Below are 19,871 nucleotides of genomic sequence, written 5' to 3'. Positions count from 1 at the left end.
AATCTCACTCACTGAGAAAGGCTACGATGGAGTCTCTTAAAACTGGCATCTGTTCATTTGCCATTTAAAATGACCTTATTTAGAATCAGGCTTTGTTTTCTGGTTTCACCTTTCAAATAAATAATCATAACATTGGCCACTTGATCTTACCAGTCTTTATAACTGTCACAAAACAAGGTTAAAATCAACAGGATTAGCAGTAAAAACCAATGTTGATGTGAAAATGGCAACAAATCGCCTAGAATATTAGAGACACATTTTGAGTTGTCTGTTTGAGCCTTTTAAATTTAATGAGAACCATATAATGCCATTGTTTTATTTTAATACTTTATTGATTACAGTAATTTGATACTCATCAGACCAGAAATCTTGAGTTTTTATTTGCATTTGCATTTGTGTGACTTTGAGAAATTTATTAAATCTCTTTGATTACCTATACAAATTGAAAGTTTGGATTAGATGTCGTCTCTGATCACTTATCACTCATAGCTATATGCTTTTGCCTTTTAAATAAAAGTATATTTTCAGCTGGGTGTGGTGGCTCATGCCTGTAATCCCAGCATTTTGGGAGGCTGAGGCAGGAGGATCATTTGAGCTCAGGGGTTTCAGACCAGTCCAGGCAACATAGTGAGACCCCATCTCTACAAAAATAAAAGAATTAGCTAGGCATGGTGGCATGCACCTGTGGTCCCAGCTACCAGGAGGGTGAGGTGGGAAGATGGCATGAACTTGGGAGGTCGAGGTTACAGTGAGCCGTGATTGTGCCACTGCACTCTAGCCTCGGTGAGACCTTGTCTCATACATATACGATTTCAATTGTTAAATATTTTGTAAATATTAAAACAACACAAAAGTGTATCAATAAAAGGGAAAGTCCCCTCTTGTTATGAACTGAATGTTTGTGAATACCTGTGTTAAAGCCCTAATCTCCACTGTGAAGTTATTTAGAGGTGGAATCTTTGGGAGGTAATTAGGTTTAGATGAGGTCATGAGGGTGGGGTGCTTGTGATGGGATTAGTGCCCTCAAAGAAGAGACACCAGAGAGCTTGCTGGTTCTTCTTCTCTCTGCTGTGTGAGAAGGTGACTATCTGCAAGCCAGGAAGTGGGCCCTCATCAGAGCCTGACCATGCTGGCACCTGGACCTTGGACTTCTCAGCCTTCAGAACGACAGGACATACATTTCTGTTGTTTAAGCCACCCAGCCTATGGTATTTTGTTACGGCAGCCTGAGCTAAGACACCTTCTAATCCTTTCCCACCTAGAAATAAATGTCATCAACCATTAAAGATCTGTCCTTCCGGACCCTATATGTATGCCCACGTGCACATGCACACACATTTTTACATGAAGGGATCATATTGCACATACTGTCCTGAGATGTACATTTTACATTTGATAATATAACATGGACATCTTTTCATGTTAACACAAATATATCCACCTCATCCCTTTCACACCTGTGAAATGCATATAGTAATACATTTAACCAACTGATGAATGTTTCGGTTACTTTTAATTTTTGCTGTTTTTGATATTTTAAACAATGTTGCAGCCTTTTTTTCAAATATCTTTTAATCCATGCCCAGTTACTTTCTTTTTTTTTTTCTCTTTCTTTCTTTTTTTTTTTTGATACGGAGTCTCGCTCTGTCGCCCAGGCTGGAGTGCTATGGAGCCATCTCGGCTTACTGCAACTTCTGCCTTCCGGGTTCAAGCAATTCTCCCGCCTCAGCCTCCCAAGTAGCTGGTATTACAGGCATGCACCACCATGCCCGACTAATTTTTGTATTTTTAGTAAAGACAGGGTTTCACCATGTTGGTCAGACTGGTCTCAAACTCCTGACCTTGTGATCCGCCCACCTTGGCTTCCCAAAGTGCTGGGCATGCCCATCTATTTTCTTAAATTAAGTTCTATAAAGTGAATTACTAGGGCAAGGCATGTGCAGTTTTTAAGAACTTGTGATGCAAGGATCCCCATGACTTCACACTCTTGCCAACCATGAACATTAACAATTGTTTACATTTTTGCTCATCTGAAAAGTACAATATAATACAGTTGTGCCTTGTACAATGACATTTCAGTTAATGATGGACTGTATATACAATGGTGGTGCCATAAGATTATAATGGAGCTGCACTATACAGGTGTACTATTTAAAAAAAAATCTTTTATACCATATTTTTACTGTACATTTTCTATGTTAAATATGTTTAGTACTTATTTTTATGTTACAATTGCCTGATGGTATTCAGTACAGTACATGCTGCACAGGTTTGTAACTCAGAAGCAAGAGACTATACCATATAGCCTACCTGTGTAGTGGGCTCTACCATTTTTGTGTAAGTGCACTCTACAACATTTGCACAATGGCAAAATTGCCAAATGATGCATTTCTCAGAATGTACCCCATCGTTAAGGGATGCATGACTATACTTCACCGTTATTTTAATTCACATTTTTTGATATTGAATGATGAATGATGATGAGTATATTTAATGTTTTTTGGAGAGGCGATATTCAATAGTGATGGAGTGCTCAGGCTCTAGAGCTGAACTGAGAGCTTTTGAATCTTGGCTTTGCCCCATTGTCAGTGGTGAACCCTAGACAAGTTATTGAACCTCAGTGGGCATCAGTGTCTTTCTTTTTGATTCATTGATTTTATTTAAAAAAATTCTTATGACTTTTTCAGTCTTTAGTTTCATCAAAATTATACAAAAAGTCAAATAGATCCATAAATATTATTCACATAAAAAGCATTTCTCCCCACTTCCCTCTCCTTAGAGTCAACCACTTTCAATCTTTTTAGCTAATTGTGTTGGTGCTATAATCTAAATGTTTGTGCCCCCCGCCCCCAAATTTATACATTGAAACCGAATCCCCATTGCAATAGTATTAAGAGGTAGGGCCTTTAGGAGGTGATTAGGTCTTGAGTGAAGCTCTCATGAATGGGATTACTGCCCTTATAAAAGAGGCCTGAGTGAGCTTGTTTGCCCCGTCTGCCAAGTGAGGACACAGCTAGAAACCTTCATCTTTGAAGGAAAGGGTGAGCCTTCCCCAGGGACTGAGTCAGCTAGCACCTTGAACTCAGGATTTCCGGGCTCCGGAACTGTGAGCAGTACATTTCTATTGTTTATAAATTACTCAGTTTAAGGTATTTTGTTAGAGCAGCCGGAATGGACCAACCCAGTTGGTATTTACTTCCAAGTAATAACACACGTGTTGCAACTTCTGGAATTTTCAGTTTTAGACTGTTGATTCCCCATTATGGAAGGCAAGGATTGAACTCTACCACCTCCACCCCCATCCCAGCTCTAGCAAATGTACACACTTCTTGTCTCCACATTCTCTATATGACTATGTCTCCATTTTCTCTACATGATTATATTGCAATCATGCCAATATTGTATTCATCACTGAAATACACAGTATATTATGATAAATGTTCCTCTCTTGAACAACTTAATATTGTCTTGTTTTTAGTTTTTATTTACTTTTCTCTTATTCATCCTGAAATTTGCAAATTTTCTAAATCTTCTTTCAGTTATTCAGATGCATCAGGAATTGTATCAATGTCCTCTTGTCTCAACAGAATATGGCTGGCAATCCTCTTTTATGCAGAGGTTAAGGAATTATACTTCCTATATGTTCAGGAAATATTTGATCAGGCTTTTTGTTTGTGTGACCCAGTTCTAACTGCAAGGCAACCACATGCAACTTCTACCCGGGTGCACTGTTTTCTGTTTGCATTTCCACCTCAAGCTCTCCATGCTAACAGACACGTAAAAAGCCCGAGGCCTAGCAAGGCAAAAATTCTTTCCCAAGGCTACCCAAGGATCAAACCAGAATTTGATCTTCTGACACCTTGTTTGGCTTATTTAACTGGTTAACCATTTGTCCCTGCTCTTAAACTGCTCCAATTCCTTAAACTTATAGAGCCTTTACTCTGAACAGGAAAATTCGAGTTCTCATTATCACAGACATAGCCGCCAAAGCCCCTTCAGGTTAGGTGATATCAAATGGAGGTAGGGTCGCCTCTCCACCCTTAGAATAGGTGATCACAAACTGTTAATCAGCAATGCTAACTGCAAGTGGAAACTTATGGAGAATAATTGATTACTGTTAAGGCATGACTTTAGGAATTCTTTGTAAGTCTAGCTTATAAAGAAAAATCCCTTGGCTTGAAAATTTCTAAAATTAGACTCAAGGAAGTTAGATAAAAGTATGTTTGAGATAAATGAATCTGTTCCAAGTTTTTCAAAGCTGCACCAATATAGTAAGGTTCAAGCTATCCACAAATACTATTTATATGCCACTGGCAAGGGGCTGTGATCAATGTCTGTTTCTTGAAGGCAGAAGTGTGACCCAAAATCTTCTTAACCAAAGAAGACGTTTATCTTTTTCAACATCAAATTTTCCCGTATGTTATCAAGATGAATCCATGGATTGCTACAAACTATATGAACCCCTAAAGGGAAGCTTTCTTACTTTCCCAAAGGAAGATGCTACAACAACTTTCATCGTTGCCCAAAGACAGTTGTTTGAGCCGATGCTGACCATGGCTTGCAAGGTACCTTGCTCAGCAGTGACTAATCAGTTTCCCACAGGACTCTGTGGTGTAGCGGGCTCCAGAGGAAGTCAACGGCAATGAATCACAGTGCTCAGGAATGAAAAATACAGCTGTGATTCACATTAACTCAAAGAAAAGGTTGAGGGGAAACAAACCTAAAAATTAAAACCACACACATGCACGCATCAGCAAATACCACACCGAGCATGTCAGGGAAACTTCTGCTTTTGAAAAGTCCAAAGAAGAAAAAGAAAAGCAACTTTTCAAAACAAAGCCTAAGAAATCTATTGATGGCAAGATTGAACTCATATAATGCACAATGTAGTTCCATAAAAAGAAATAAATTACTTTCAGTGAACTTGGTTTTTGTTATAAGAAAAAGGGAGCCAATGTATTGCTTTAGACATAATTTCAAAGATTCCTATGTATAACTTCTTTAATTTTTATTGACTACTATCGAACTTTTAAATTTTAGCTTTTGCTTAAATTACTTTACCTTTGTAAGCAGAATTCTTGCCTCATTATAGGCCTTCTCTTAACTAGCATAAATTGCTTTCTCAATAATGAATTACCTAGGAACACAAAATAAGAAAGTGCAAGTTGGATTCATTGTTGTTAGACTCAACAAGCAATTTAAAAAATAAATAAACAAAATGCAAACCTCAGAGTTATTAGGACTGATCACTTTGAAACCTGCTGGAAATACTGCAGAAAGCCATAGAGCTCAGAGCCAGTTAATAATCCACACAGATACAAATTTGAGTTTCTTTGTTGGTGCTTAAATGGATAAATATTACATGATCAAGCTTATAAAACATAAAATTAAATTAATATTTGGATAGGATTTGGTTTATTCTAACACCAGAAATGGCCAAGTGGATTTTAAAATCAGTGTAGACCAGGGCCAGGCATGATGGCTCACACCTGTAATCCTGATACTTTTTGGGAGGCTGAGGTGGGCGGATCACTTGAGGCCAGGAGTTCAAAGCCAGACTGGGCAACATATGAAGACCATGTCTCTACAAAAAAAAAAAATTAGCTGGGTATGATGGCATGCACCTGTAATCCCAGCTACTTGTGAGCCTAAGGTGGGAGGATGCTTGAGTTCCAGGAGTTCCAGTGCGGTCTGATTGTGCCACTGCACTCCAGCCTGGATGAAAGGGCAAAACCCTGTCTCCAAAATATAAAATATAAAATTACTATAGACCAGAGATTGAATGACTTTAATCACATGAGAGGTGGAGGATTTAGGTGGACATCTGGGGTGAGATGTTGTGTGACCACACCAGTTGTTGTGAGTGATTGTTGTCGTAATCAGTGATGATGTTAGACAATAAACATGTCATCTCATTTTGGAAGGCAAAGTCAATCAGTGACAAGGCAGAGTCAGACTTGTGGAAGCACTGGGGAGGGGGTGGGAGGAGGGGAAAGGGCAAGTGTGCACCGCGACCTCACGTCCACCTACCAAACATGGGTCCAAACACCCCAGGGAGCTGAGCCCCAGGCAAGCGGCTGGATTGGACCTTACTTAACATGATTTATTTTTGTCTGATTTTTCCAAGCCTGATAGTCTCCTTGGGCCAAGCTAACCAAATGACTGAAATTTTCACTTTATATTTTATTGTGTGACCTCGTAAACACACATTTGCCCTTCATTTGCCAGTAAGAACATAACAAAACAAAGCAGCATTAGAAATAGCATTTTGGGCTCCAATGCTTTGTTCTCTGTTTCTTGCACGTGATACGACTATTTTTCTATTCTGACCTATTTAGCACATTTTGCTGTTTACCAAGACCGGAAGAGATTATTCATCATTTCAAATTACCCATCTGGAAGGCATTTTATAAACATGTCTAGTTTTCTATAATTTATTTATATTTCCAGATATCAAGATTCCTAAAATATGTTGAAACCACACCCCAGATAATAAAGACTATGTATTATTTTCCAGTTGAACTTTTTTCAGTATTTTTGGTAATAAAATTATGATACAACAGGTGACACAATTAATCATGTGGGACATTCAAACCCAGTGCTTTTTATATATTTAAAATAACTTTTCATTTTTTTAAAAAATACATGTTTGTTACAGAACATTTAGAAGACATAAATTTTAAAAGCTACAGGTCTATTTATTAATCATTTGGAGTACATCCTTCCAGAATTTTTATGCACCTGTCTCTACTTTTTTATTGTGTTTTACTTCATTTTGTAATTCCTATTATAACCTGACATGTATTACGTATTCATTTGCCCAATTGTTATAATCTATTTCTCCCACTCGAATGGAAGCCTCTTAGGAGAAAGTACTCTGCCTCTTTTGTTCACTACTAAGCCCCACTAGCCTCACATAGTATCTGGTACGTATTCGGTGTCCATGAAAGAATGAATGAATAGTTGATGCTCACTAAATATTTGAAGAATTGAAAGAAGCCATGAAGTACAAGCCAACTGACCTAAAGTCATGATATGGCAAATGGATGGGAACTTCTTTCTTTTCCACCTCATATTTCTTGATTTCCTCTGCTATTGGCCGATTAGCCCATTAATTTGAACTCAGTCAATTAGCTGCAGGCACGCAGTTGATTCATTATATGAGAACTAGAGAGAAGTAGTGATCTGGGGGCAAGGGAAAGAATGGTGACCCCACAAATGGGGCTGACTGTCCGAGAGGCCACTGTGGAGTGGATTAGAGTGGGGAAGTCTATTGCTGAGCTTACTAGTGCCTGTGTTCTTCCTGCAGGGGTGGTGAATGAATAGCTCCCCTCAATTCCTCCATTCTCAGAATCTGACCCTGCACTGTTAGGTGGATACAAAGCAAGTGACTCTTGATCAGACCCAAAGGGACAATGCTGAGGAAGCTGAGTAACTTCTGCAGTAACCAAAGAAAGGAAGATAATCATGAGTACTCTCATGTCTTTCTTTACCCAACATCTGGACATTTTAACCACCAACTTCCTATTCACAGACAAAAAGTAATCCAGGGAGTATTATTACCAGACAATGACTATTTTTAACAAAAGATTGAAAGTCTGATCTTGCTCTTCCTTTTGATTCTTTCAGTGAGGATGCCCACGCTATGAAACAATTCCCAAGTATGCCATTCTGAATGGGGGGGTGCTGCAGTGTGATGGGAGCTAGAATTGCTTTTTTAACTTTTTATTTGGAAATAATTTTGAACTTACAGAAAATAATTGCAATTATCCAAACCCTTACTACTCAGGAAGGAGAAAAACAACCCAACACAAAATAAGCAAAAGATTTGAACAGACATTTTATCAAAGAAGCTATGCAAATGGCAAATGAGCACATGAAAAGATGCTTAACATCATTAGTCTGTAGGGAAAGGCTAAAACCACAATAAGATGCCACAACACATCTATCAGAATGGCTGAAATAGAAAAGAGTGATATTACCAACTGTCAATGAGGACTCAGAGAACTGGAAGCACCATACATAGTTGATGGGAACATAAAATGGTACAGTCTCTTCGGAAAACAGTTGGGTAGTTTCTTAAAGAAATAAACATAAACTTAACACATCACCCAGAAATTCCACTCATAGGTATTTACTCAAGAGAAGTGAAAATATGTGTCTACATAAAGACTTGTATGTGGGTGTTCACAATAGCATGATTTATAACAATAAAATTAAAAACAGTCCAAATGTAGAATGGATAAACAAAGTGTGATAAATCCATGCAATGAAATACTATTCAGTGGTAAAAAAAAAGAACAAGCTATTGATACCTGCTACAACGTGGATGACTTTAATAACACTATGTTGAGTGGGAGTAGTCAGGCACAAAAGACCATATATGGTATAGTTCCACTTATGTAAAGTTTCTGGAAAGCTGTATAAATTTACTAAAACACTACACTGGTACACTTAAAATAGGTAAATTTTGTGGTATTTAAATTATACCCAAACAAAGCTTTTTTTTTTTAAAATGGGAGCATATTCTAAATATTGTTTGTACTGTGCTTTTTTCTACTCAAAACTATAACTCAAAGAGAGTTTCATATTAGCACAGGAGATGGCCCTCATTTTTTAGTGGTTATAATGGTTCGCTGTATGATTGTGTCCAAATTTAAGTAACTCAAATAGCCATGAACGAAAAGATCTCATTTCTCCATTCAGACCAAAGACCTTGTAGGCATACAGTTTCTGCGTTCAGTTTTAAAAGCTACAAATTAGTTCCTTGCCTCAAAATCTCTTAAGCACCCTGTGATGGATGCTCATGGTGCCTCCCTTGTCCCCTCCACACCCACTGTTCCCATCCATGCCAAGGGTTTCCCACTGCAGGTACCCGTGAGTCTCTTCCTGAAGTCTCTCTGGTGACAGGAGCATACTTGAATCACGCATGGGTGGCCAGAAGTGCCAGGAAGTTACTGCCTTTTGGAGCAGTCCTCACCAATGATGGAAGGAAGTTGTGGATAAACACCCCAGCTCCCTTACTCTGTGGGTAAAACCACTCGCAGGTGAGGTCTCCAGCACCTCGCAGAGCTCCTAGCGCCACTGAGCCCCCGTTGCCAATGGTGGCATCTGATCTTTAACACTCGTTCTTTCCCTTCTCTCTCCCATTTCCCTACCCCTCCTCCATCCTTCTGGAATCACTCACCAAATAAATTACTGCATCTAAATCCTTGTCTCAGGGGGACCAAAATAAACCACCACCAAGAAGCGACAGTTACTAATTGGTTTATACATCTGGTACTTTCCGCTTTATCCTTGTGCATTTTTTTTTTATATTAAACAATCGTTATTTGAAAAACAGTACCTTGGCCGGGCACGGTGGTTCACGCCTGTAATCCCAGCACTTTGGGAGGCCGAGGCGGGCGGATCACGAGGTCAGGAGATCGAGACAATCCTGGCTAACACGGTGAAACCCTGTCTCTACTAAAAAAAAAAAAAACACACACACACACAAAATTTAGCCGGGCATGGTGGTGGGTGCCTGTAGTCCCAGCTACTTGGGAGGCTGAGGCGGGAGAATGGCGTGAACCCGGGAGGCAGAGCTTGCAGTGAGCCGAGATCACGCCACTGCACTCTAGCCTGGGCGAGACAGAACAAGACTCCGTCTCAAAAAAAAAAAAAAAAAAAAAAAAAAGTACCTTATAATCTTAACATGATCAAACTTCAATAAGAGCAATTTCAGCATCAATAAGCTGTAGCTAAACTAACGAGAGAGCAATCAAAAGTGCTTTAAAGGGAGCAGCACCGGCTGATGTTCTGCCGAGGCTCTGGGCATTCAGAACTTGGCTAAAGGGAAAACAGAATCAAATCGGTAGGTGCTCTGGACCCAAGCGCTCACATTGTGACCCACCTCCCTCCTGGGGGCCCTGGCAGCCCATGGTACTCTTGGCACTTCTTTTTTCATTTCTTTGAGACAGAGTCTCACTCTGTCACCCAGGGTGGAGTGCAGTGGCACAATCTCAGCTCACTGCAACCTCTGCCTCCCAGGTTCAAGTGATTCTCATGCCTCAGCCTCCCAAGTAGCTGGGACTACAGGCATGCACCACCACACCTGGCTTTTTTTTTTTTTTTTTGTATTATTAATAGAGACGGGGTTTTGCCATGTTGGCCAGGCTGGTCTCGAACTCCTGACCTCAAGAAATCCACCTGCCTTGGCCTCCCAAAGTGCTGGCATTACAGGTGTGAGCCACCACGCCTGGCCCCTCTTGGCACTTCTGGGCTCCTGTGGGCTGTGGATGGTGGAGCCCTAGGAGCCAAAGGGCCACTCAGGAAAGGCTGCAACTTGGCCTTGCAGTCAGCCGGCTTCTGCCTGCTGTAGTCATTTTCTTTCTGCAGCACCTGGAGTTCTATCTCAGTGGTCGCAGCGGCCATCTAGCTTTCCTGGGCTGTTCTCTTGTGGCAGAGGATCTCCCTCTGAAAACTGGAAGTGTCTTTCTTCAATTTCTGGGCCAGGTCTTGGGCCATCTTCTTGTAGTGGTTGTGGGTTGTGACATGTGGTTCATGTATGTGTGCACCTTGTGAAGTCTCTGCTCAAGGTCCAGGCAGTAGGCGTCCTCCTCTGTGGACTCCCATGAGGCCCCATCATGTGTTCTCGGTGGAGATCAGGCAGAACAGGAAGCGTCGGCTGTAGCTTCGGGAGCTCCCTCTCCAGCTGTGCCCTTGCACCCTGCAGAGAGGCCTGCTCGCTGATCAGACTTTGGACTTGTGCTGTGAGTTCTTTATGCCTTTGATTTCTTCCCACAATTGCGTGTCTGCTTCTCCAGTCTCCCCCTCAGGACATTCGAAGGATGCACCTAAGTCACCATCGTCATCCACACTCTTCAGAGGACTTGTGGCTGGGACGCTAGGGGACTGCCATATCCTGCTTCCATGTTCTCCTCCACTGCCAAGTCCCCATCCTCCACATGGTCTCCACCATCCTCCAGCAGATGCAGGACGCTGGGCCGGGGTGTGGACCGGGGAGGTCAGTCGCTTCACTCCAACATTTATGACTGTTTCATTCCTGCCTTGGCCTGCTTCAGCCTTCTTTGCCTGCAAGCGTTGCTTCCATCTGACAATTTCCTGGTTGGGCAGCTCTGTAGGTTGCTGGTGGTCACTGCTATCATTCAGATCATCCGCAATTTTCCCCTGATCTTCTGCCCCAGCTGTGAAGTATATGGACGTGGTTTGCATCAGTCACTTGGGGAAGTTCAGGAGGCTTCCTTTTTGATGCTTTTTTCAGAAGCTCACCTAGGTCCTGATGGGAAAGACCTGCTTATTTCATTCAGAACCCTAGGCAGAGGGTTTGGAGCAATCCAGGACTGGCCTGTGGCATGGGTGACATGAGGCCCCCCACCAGCCTGGGGTGCTGACTGCATCCTGGCTCTGGCCTTTCCTTGGACCACGCCCTGGACCGCATCCCTTTAGGCCGGCTCTGCCCTTCTTTTCACTGCATGTCGTCTCCTGACCATAAAGGCCACCATAACAGTGCATGTCCAGATCACCCAGGGTATCCCTAGGGTCGCTGGCACTAGTCCCAGGATTCTATACATCACTAGCAATGCCACCCCCAGGGGGCCAGCAGCAGCTGAGTAGATATTGCGTGGCGAGCAGCAGGCCTTCCGTGGCTCCAGAGGGCTCTGCTGCTCTGTTTCCACTTGCCAGTGACCTGTGGACAGCTAACCGGAACCCTGCGGAGTGTTCTGTCTCTGACACAAACAGGGGCCCACCAACCAGGGTAGACCATCCATTGGACTGGGGGAGGGGAGGCACCTCGTGCTTTAGAAAACTGTGTCCCTGATTTTGCTGTGCAAATAGAAAATGACATTACTTATACAGGGCCTTCGGGGAGTGGAAAGAGCTCATGGCAGACCCGAGCTGAGGCCACTCCAGGCCCCAACAGGCCCTACAGCCCAGCTAGATGGTCAAAGCAGGGCCATGCCACAGCCTGTGTCTACACAAGATCCTATTCTCAGCTTTCCTTCACCCGACTCCCCTTCCCCTGACTCCTACTGGGCCATGGCGGCCTCTCTGGCCCTGCTGGGGACCAGGCTCAGGGAGGAGAGGGGCGGCCTGTGACTGCCAGGTGTGGCCTGTGAATTTATACAAACAGAAGCAAGCCACTAAGCATGCAGGCATCTTAACGGCACGCATAAGGCATATGATTTCATTCATAGTTTAATTAGAATGCACTGTAAGACACTAGCATCAACGTCTGGGTTCATTTGCTTGCTTGCTTAGCCAATGCAAGGACACAGTATAAATAACTTATGAGTGTTTGGAAAGACATTTAATCATTTAAGGCTTAGGTTTCTTCCGCAGACCTTCTTTAGATGGCCAAGAACACAACAGTGATGCCACCCCTAGCATATGCTTTATGACTTATAACTCACAAAAAGCATAAAACTGCAAGTCTTTTCCATGCTAAGTTGGAAAAAGTCCTGTAAATTTAAGGCTGCAAATTCCAACCAACATAAAAGCTTTGCCTCTTCTCCTTCCAGCTAAACTGCATCCATGCCAGATGAGAGAGCCAAGGTATTGAGAGAAGCACAGAAAAGGCATTTTTGCAGAATCCAAAACCTTCTCCTAAAATTTAGGAAAACACACACATCAATATGACTGACAATTTATTCATTCTACTTGCTGCTTTTATTTCATTCTGACAAGTTTGGGCAACTGGTGTGTGCTGAATCCAAGTCTGATCATTTGAGGCAGCTGCTGAAGTGCTAACAGGTTGTCACTGTGGAGGAACAAGCTCACCATCTCCAAACACTTCATAATTCTAAGGTGAACAAAGCCATCATACAAGATAAAGTAACAATTCCCAGCTCAGGTCTGAGATAAAGAGATTCCTGGAGCCTTAGGGTGTGCAGCTTTTAGTATCATCTCATCTCCCATTAATAACAACTTAGAATATCATTAAGGTTTTGGGATTTTGCCAAAAGTGATAACTAAAACTAGCACTGGCAAAGACTTAAATTTCACATCATGTTTGCCCAATTTGGCATAAGATAGAGGAAGCATGGTAGATTGCCTTATTGGTCTTAAGCCAAGGTCAACAGTGGAAACTCCTCCAGCAAAGGCAGAACACATTTCTCTGCCTCTTGACTTAGGTTTGGCCATGTGACTTGCTTTGGCTAATAGAATAATACAAAAATGTCAGTGTGCCGATTCCAAGCACAAGCTTTACAAGGTTTCTTGGGCTTCCACTTATACTCATGCACTTTTGCCATTGTCACAGGAGAGCTTTCCTCAGGTAGCCATGCCCACCAACCTGGACTTAGCGTGTGCTAAGTGTTGCTGGCCTGAACCCAGACATCAGTGGGAAGCCAAGCCTAGCTGAACCTGTGCAGGAAGCAGCGTCACCTAGCTGAGCCCAACCTAGATCTGCCAGATCCCAGCTAACCTCTGTTTGCATGAGCTAAACAGATATTTATTATCAATTTCTTGTCTTTTTCTTTTTGAGACAGGATCTTACTCTGTTGCCCAGGCTGGCTCACTGTAGCCTCGAGCTCCTGGACTCAAGCAATCCTCCCACCTTAGCTTGCCTATTAGCTAGGACTACAGATGCACACCACCATGCCTGGCTAATTTTTGTTATCTTTTGTAGAAATGAGGTTTCACCATGTTACCCAGGCTGATCTCAAACTTCTGTGCTCAGGCAATCATCCCACCTCAGCCTCCCAAAGTGCTAGGTTTACAGGTGTGAGCCATCACACCCAGCTCAGTTTTCCTACTGAGTTTGGAGATGTTTTGTTGCACACGTAAAAGCTGATGCCAGAGCAAAGGGGAAGTACAGGAAGCCAGGGGGAATAGTTTATAGTAGGTTTCTCCTCTTTCCTTCCCTGGAAAAATGGGTGGCAACGTACAGGATATAATCATGATGTTCATCGTTGCTTTTTAAAAAGTCCATCTCACGCCAGTTAGAATGGCGATCATTAAAAAGTCAGGAAACAACAGATGCTGGAGAGGATGTGGAGAAATAGGAACGCTTTTACACTGTTGGTGGGAGTGTAAACTAGTTCAACCATTGTGGAAAACACTGGGGCGATTCCTCAAGGAACTAGAACTAGAAATACCATTTGACCCAGCAATCCCATTACTGGGTATATACCCAAAGGATTAGAAATCATTCTACCATAAAGACACATGCACACTCACATTTATTGCAGCACTGTTCACAATAGCAAAGACTTGGAACCAACCCAAATGCCTATCAATGATAGACTGGATAAAGAAAATGTGGTGCACATATACACCATAGAATACTATGCAGCCATAAAGAAGGATGAGTTCATGTCCTTTGCAGGGACATGGATGAAGATGGAAACCATCATTCTCAGCAAACTATCACAAGGACAGAAAACCAAACACTGCATGTTCTCACTCATAAGTGGGAGCTGAACAATGAGAACACATAGACACAGGATAGGGGAGCATCACACACTGTGGCCTGTTGGAGGTTGGGGGCTGGGGGAGGGATAGCATTAGGAGAAATTCCTAATGTAGATGACGGGTTGATGGGTGCAGCAAACCACCATGGCACATGTATACCTATGTAACAAACCTTCATGTTCTGCACATGTACCCCAGAACTTAAAGTATAATAATTAAAAAAAAAAAAGTCCTTGTAACTTGGGCCAGGCGCAGTGGCTCATGCCTGTAATCCCAGCACTTTGGGAGGCTAAGGCGGGCAGATCATCTGAGATCAAGAGTTTGAGACCAGCCTGGCCAACGTGGCGAAACCCTGTCTCTACTAAAAATACAAAAATTAGCTGGGTGTGGTGGTGCGTGCCTGTAATCCCAGCTACCTGGGAGGCTGAGGTAGGAGAACTGCTTGAACCCAGGAGGTGGAGGTTGCAGTGAGCCGAGATCGCACCACTGCACTCCAGCCTGGGTGACAGAGTGAGACTTCATCTCAGAAAAAAAATAAGGTCCCTATAACTTCTTTCAGGAATATCCTAACTTCTGAGTCCCATAGTTGGACTATTCGAAGATGAATCCTACACAGTCTGTCGCAGTGATGGTGGGATTGAGCCCTGGTGCCCACAGTGGTAACCTGCTCATGTCACAGACTGTATGGCCTCTTTGCCCTCCGTATGCCACTCCCTACTCCCTCATTGTGCTTCAGGGCATCCCTGCCCATATAAATACCCGCATCCCAATTTTTGACCAAAGCTAAGTCTCATTGTAATAAATAGTAACTAACACTCACTGAACACTTGAATGTGCCAGACGCCATGACACACAGGTAACTTGACTTCTCAGTGCTTCAGTTTTCTCATCTGTAAAATAAGGATAAGAATAGTGCCTACCTAAATAAACTAGAAAATCTAGCAGAAATGGATAAATTACTGGACACAAAGACCCTCCCAAGACTGAACCAGGAAGAAGTTGAATCCCTGAATAGACCAATAACAAGTTCTGAAATTTTGAGGGAGTCATAAATAGCCTACCAACCAAAAACAAAACAAAACAAACAACAACAACAACAGCAAAACAAAACAAAAAAAACCCACATGGATTTACCGCTGAGTTCTACCAGAGGTACAAAGTGGAGCTGGTACCATTTCTTCTGAAACTATTCCAAACAATTGAAAAGGAGGGACTTCTCCCTAACCCATTTTATGAGGCCAGCATAATCCTGATACCAAAACCTGGCAGAGATACAACAAAAAAATAAAACTTCAGGCCAATATCCCTGATGAATATTGATACAAAAATCCTCAATAAAATACTGGCAAACCAAATCCAGCAGCACATCAAAAAGCTTATTCACCACGATCAAGTCAGCTTCAACCCTGGGATGCAAGGCTGGTTTGATATATGCAAATCAATAAAGGTAATTCATCATATAAACAGAACTAAAGATAAAAACCACATGATTATCTCAATAGATGTAGAAAAGGCATCCAATAGAACTCCACATCCCTTTATGTTAAAAACTCTCAATAAACTAGGTATTGATGGAACATACTTCAAAATAATAAGAGCCATTTATGACAAACCTACAGTTAATATCACACTGAATGGACAAAAGCTGGATGCATTCCCCTTGAAAACTAGCACAAGATAAGGATGCCCTCTTTCACCACTCCTATTCAACATAGTATTGGAAGTTCTGGCCAGGGCAGTCAGGCAAGAGAAAGATAAAAAGGGAATTCAAATAGGAAGAGAGGAAGTCAAATTGCCTTTGTTTGCAGATGACATGATCCTATATCTAGAAAACCACATTGTCTCAGCCCAAAAGCCTCTTAAGCTGATAAGCAACTTCAGCAAAGTCTCAGGATGCAAAATCAATGTGGGAAAATCGCAAGCATTGCTATACACCAACAATAGACAAGCAGAGAGCCAAATCATGAATGAACTCCCATTCACAATTGCTATAAAGAGAATAAAATACCTAGGAATACAGCTAACAAGAGAAGTGAAGGGCCTCTTCAAGGAGAACTACAAACCACTGCTCAAGGAAATCAGAGATGACTCAAACAAATGGAAAAACATCCCATGCTCAAGGATAGGAAGAATCAATATTGTGAAAATGGCCATACTGCCCAAAGCAATTTATAGATTCAATGCTATTCCCATTAAACTACCATTGACATTCTTCACAGAATTAAAAAATAACTACTTTAAAATTCACATGGAACCAAAAAAGAGTCTGTACAGGTAAGACAATCTGGAGCAAAAAGAACAAAGATCTGATTTTTAGTTTTGAGTTTTACATTTAAGTCTTTAATCCATCTTGAGTTGATTTTTGTGTAAGGTATAAGGAAGGGGTCCAGTTTCAATTTTCTGCATATGCCTAGCCAGTTTTCCTAGTACCGTTTATTAAATAAGGAATCCTTTCCCCATTGCTTGTTTTTGTCAGGTTTGTCAAAAATCAGATGTTTGTAGATGTGTGGTCTTATTTCTGAGATCTCTATTCTGTTCTTTTGGTCTATGTGTCTGTTTTTGTACCAGTATCATGCTGTTTTGGTTACTGTAGCCTTGTAGTATAGTTTTAACTCAGGTAGTGGATGCCTCCAGCTTTGTTCTTTTTGCACACAACAAGCTTTCAATAAATGCTAGTTATTTTCCAGCAAGACTTGCTTATCCTTATTATTATCAGGCTTCTAAGCTGCATCTGCTAGGGTTGAAAGAACAGGGTAGAATCGAGGAAAATAGACAGGTAAAAGAGAATGAAGAGAAAGGAATACATTTCATCTTCATTAAGTCACTTTACAATTCTCAGCCCACAGATGGCAGTGCTGGCCTTTTTCACTAATCAGTGAGCAGGTAGAACAACAGGAACAATAAAGCATTCTCGGTTAATTGTATTTAGTTAATGAAGTTCTATTGCACTGAGGGCAGGAGAAGCCCGAGAACAAGAGAAGATAAAAGAGGGGTCTAGTGGGAGAGGCTGGTCAGGTTGTGCTCCTTGGAGTATAGGTCTAAGGCATGGACTGTGTCCAAGAGAGGATACATTGTTTCCAACAGGGTCCAGCAGGGGCTGGAAGACTTCGCTCAGGTATGCAGATGACTAGGGCTTGCTCTAGATGGTGCCAGAGCACTCCTTGGTGTACCATGAAATAGGGCACTAAAACCTAGCTTTTGAGGGGGCCTTCAGGACTCAGTCAAGGTGGAGAAGGGGATGGGTCACTCAGTTGGTATTAAAAATTAACCAACCCTAGCGACCCAGGTGAAAGTAGGGACTACCCAAAGGTGGCTGACTGACTGCTTGCCAAGGAATTCTTCAGTGATGTCATCCCTCCAGCCTGCCTTTCTATAACACAGCCTCACTCCAGACCTTTAGTCACACTGTGGCAAGGGGAAGGGAGGGAGGCCAAGCCCCAGGAACTCTAGGTATACTTTTTTTTTTTTTTTTTAAAGAAACTTTTTGTAGAGATAGTGCCCAAGCTGATCTTGAACTCCTGTCCTCAAGCAATCCTCCTGCCTTGGCCTCCCAAAGGGCTGAGATTACAGACATGAGCCACCACACCTGGCCTGGCCATACCTGGTAGGGGCAGCTCTTTCTGCCAAGCATGTAGGTCACCTAAGCACGGGGTGCTCGGGACAGGGCCCAGTGAAGTCACCCGGCCTGCTCCAAATTCCGCCTTGATACTGCCTAACTGGGTGATGTAGGGCAAGTGACCTAACCTCATGAGACTCAGTTTTCCCATCTGTAAAATGAGAATAATAACAATCCCACCTGTATAGGGCTGTCGTGATGATTAAATGTGACAACGGATGATGTGGTCATCAGTTCTCCAATGTTATATATTGGCTTTTCCCCTCTTGAAAATATTTTTTGCTCGGATAACCTAATGAAATATCGTATCTCAGAGTCCTGTGGCAGTTCCTATTATTGTTTATTTTACAACTGCATTTTATTGAAGTTATTTATTTATGAAAGTCAAACACAGGGATGTTTTATCTAACAGGAAGGACAGAGGAAGTGAGAAATCTTTGGCCTCAAAAGACAAACCTACAACATCATGATAAGACTTCAGTATTTATACCTGGAACTATGCACTTCCTTACTCTGTCATCATTATTATCAAGAAAATTCACATCTAATGCTCTTTGGTGTTTATTTAACATGCATTTATTAGGTATCTGCTCAGGTAAGGGTCTTTGCTAGAAGAAAAGAGGTGAAGAATAGGAAAGACAGACCAATCCCGGGCCTTCCCGAAATAAAACTAGGGATAGAGACATTGATCACAGAATCGCATAATGATGCCGGGCGCGGTGGCTCACGCCTGTAATCCCAGCACTTTGGGAGGCCGAGGCGGGCGGATCACGAGGTCAGGAGATTGAGACCATGCTGGCTAACATAGTGAAACCCCATCTCTACTAAAAATACAAAAAAATTAGCCGGGCGTGGTGGTGGGGGCCTGTAGTCCCAGCTACTCGGGAGGCTGAGGCAGGAGAATGGCGTGAACCCGAAAGGCAGAGATTGCAGTGAGCCGACATTGCGCCACTGCACTCCAGCCTGGGTGACAGAGCAAGACTCTGTCTCAAACAAACAAACAAGAACTCCATTTCAAAAAATAATAATAATAAAATAAAATAAAATAAAGAATTACTTGATGATTATTTTACATGATAAGGAAAAGAATATTGTGTAATATGAGCAGATACCACAGGATCTAAATTCATGGAGGGAAGGTAGACAGCTTCCTGAGAGAACTCTACACTTAAGTCAGAAAGGGAGGCACCCAACCAGGGTCCAAATTAAGAAATAGAGCAACAACATATTGTGCAGAAATAGTTCTCTAACATTTTTCTCTCTTATTGCTCTTACTCTGCAAGGGTTTGCTTTCTCTGAGAGCAGTTGTGTCTACAGGGCAGCGAAGGCCCAGCTCCCAGCCCAGAAAGAATGTGTAGTTAGAGCAGTGGTGAACCTCACAAGCTTGAAATCAGGCAGCTCTGGGTTGAAACTCCAGCAACACATTCAATAGTTGTGTGGCCTTAGGTAAGTCAGTTCATCTCATTCAACTTCTGTTTTCTTACTTGTAAACAAGCAAAATGATATTTTACACTTCAAACAGTGTTGCTGTGGGTTTAAATGAAATAGCTGAAAACAACAATGTTTATTTTGCTCATGAATCTGCTATAGGAGCAGGGATCAGCAGGGATGGTTTAGCAGGGACAGCTTATCTCTGCTCGATTTAGCATCAGTGGGGACAGCTCAAAGGCTGGGGGCTGGAGCCAGCCTTCTAAGTCCCATGTCAGTGGGGCTGTCAACTGGAGCACCTACATGTGGCCTCTCTGCAGGGCCTGGCTTCCCAGAAACATGGTGGCTGGGTCTCAAGGACATGTATCCTAAGGGATTTAGAGAGCTACGTGGAAGCCCCGTCACCTTTGCT

General features: G+C 42.3%; 1 protein-coding gene and 1 pseudogene across 11 annotated transcripts in view, besides 1 other annotated feature; both read right to left on the bottom strand.

Annotated features, from left to right (window-relative positions):
• Window positions 1-19,871, bottom strand: part of RIN2 (Ras and Rab interactor 2) — a 244,858-nt gene that overhangs the window by 182,097 nt on the left and 42,890 nt on the right. For 4 of the 11 annotated variants that reach the window (XM_047440212.1, XM_047440213.1, XM_047440211.1 and 1 more), the window contains exon 3: window positions 5,062-5,137. The exons of the other annotated variants lie outside the window; for them this stretch is intronic. The gene's annotated coding sequence lies outside the window, so the exon portion shown is untranslated. The remainder of the gene's footprint in view (window positions 1-5,061; window positions 5,138-19,871) is intronic. 11 annotated transcript variants of the gene reach the window in all.
• Window positions 10,339-11,272, bottom strand: LOC100421663 (cutaneous T cell lymphoma-associated antigen 1 pseudogene; annotated as a pseudogene).
• Window positions 17,621-17,915: an enhancer, noted in NCBI's record as "tiled region #11499; HepG2 Activating DNase matched - State 12:CtcfO, and K562 Activating non-DNase unmatched - State 13:Ctcf". NCBI's record gives its function as "activates a minimal TATA promoter and a strong SV40 promoter by Sharpr-MPRA in HepG2 and K562 cells {active_cell/tissue: HepG2 | K562}" and the evidence as "EXISTENCE:reporter gene assay evidence [ECO:0000049][PMID:27701403]".

The sequence above is a fragment of the Homo sapiens genome, chromosome 20, assembly GCF_000001405.40.
Source record: "Homo sapiens chromosome 20, GRCh38.p14 Primary Assembly".
NCBI lineage: Eukaryota > Metazoa > Chordata > Mammalia > Primates > Hominidae > Homo > Homo sapiens.
This window is presented reverse-complemented; position numbering and strand designations above follow the sequence as displayed.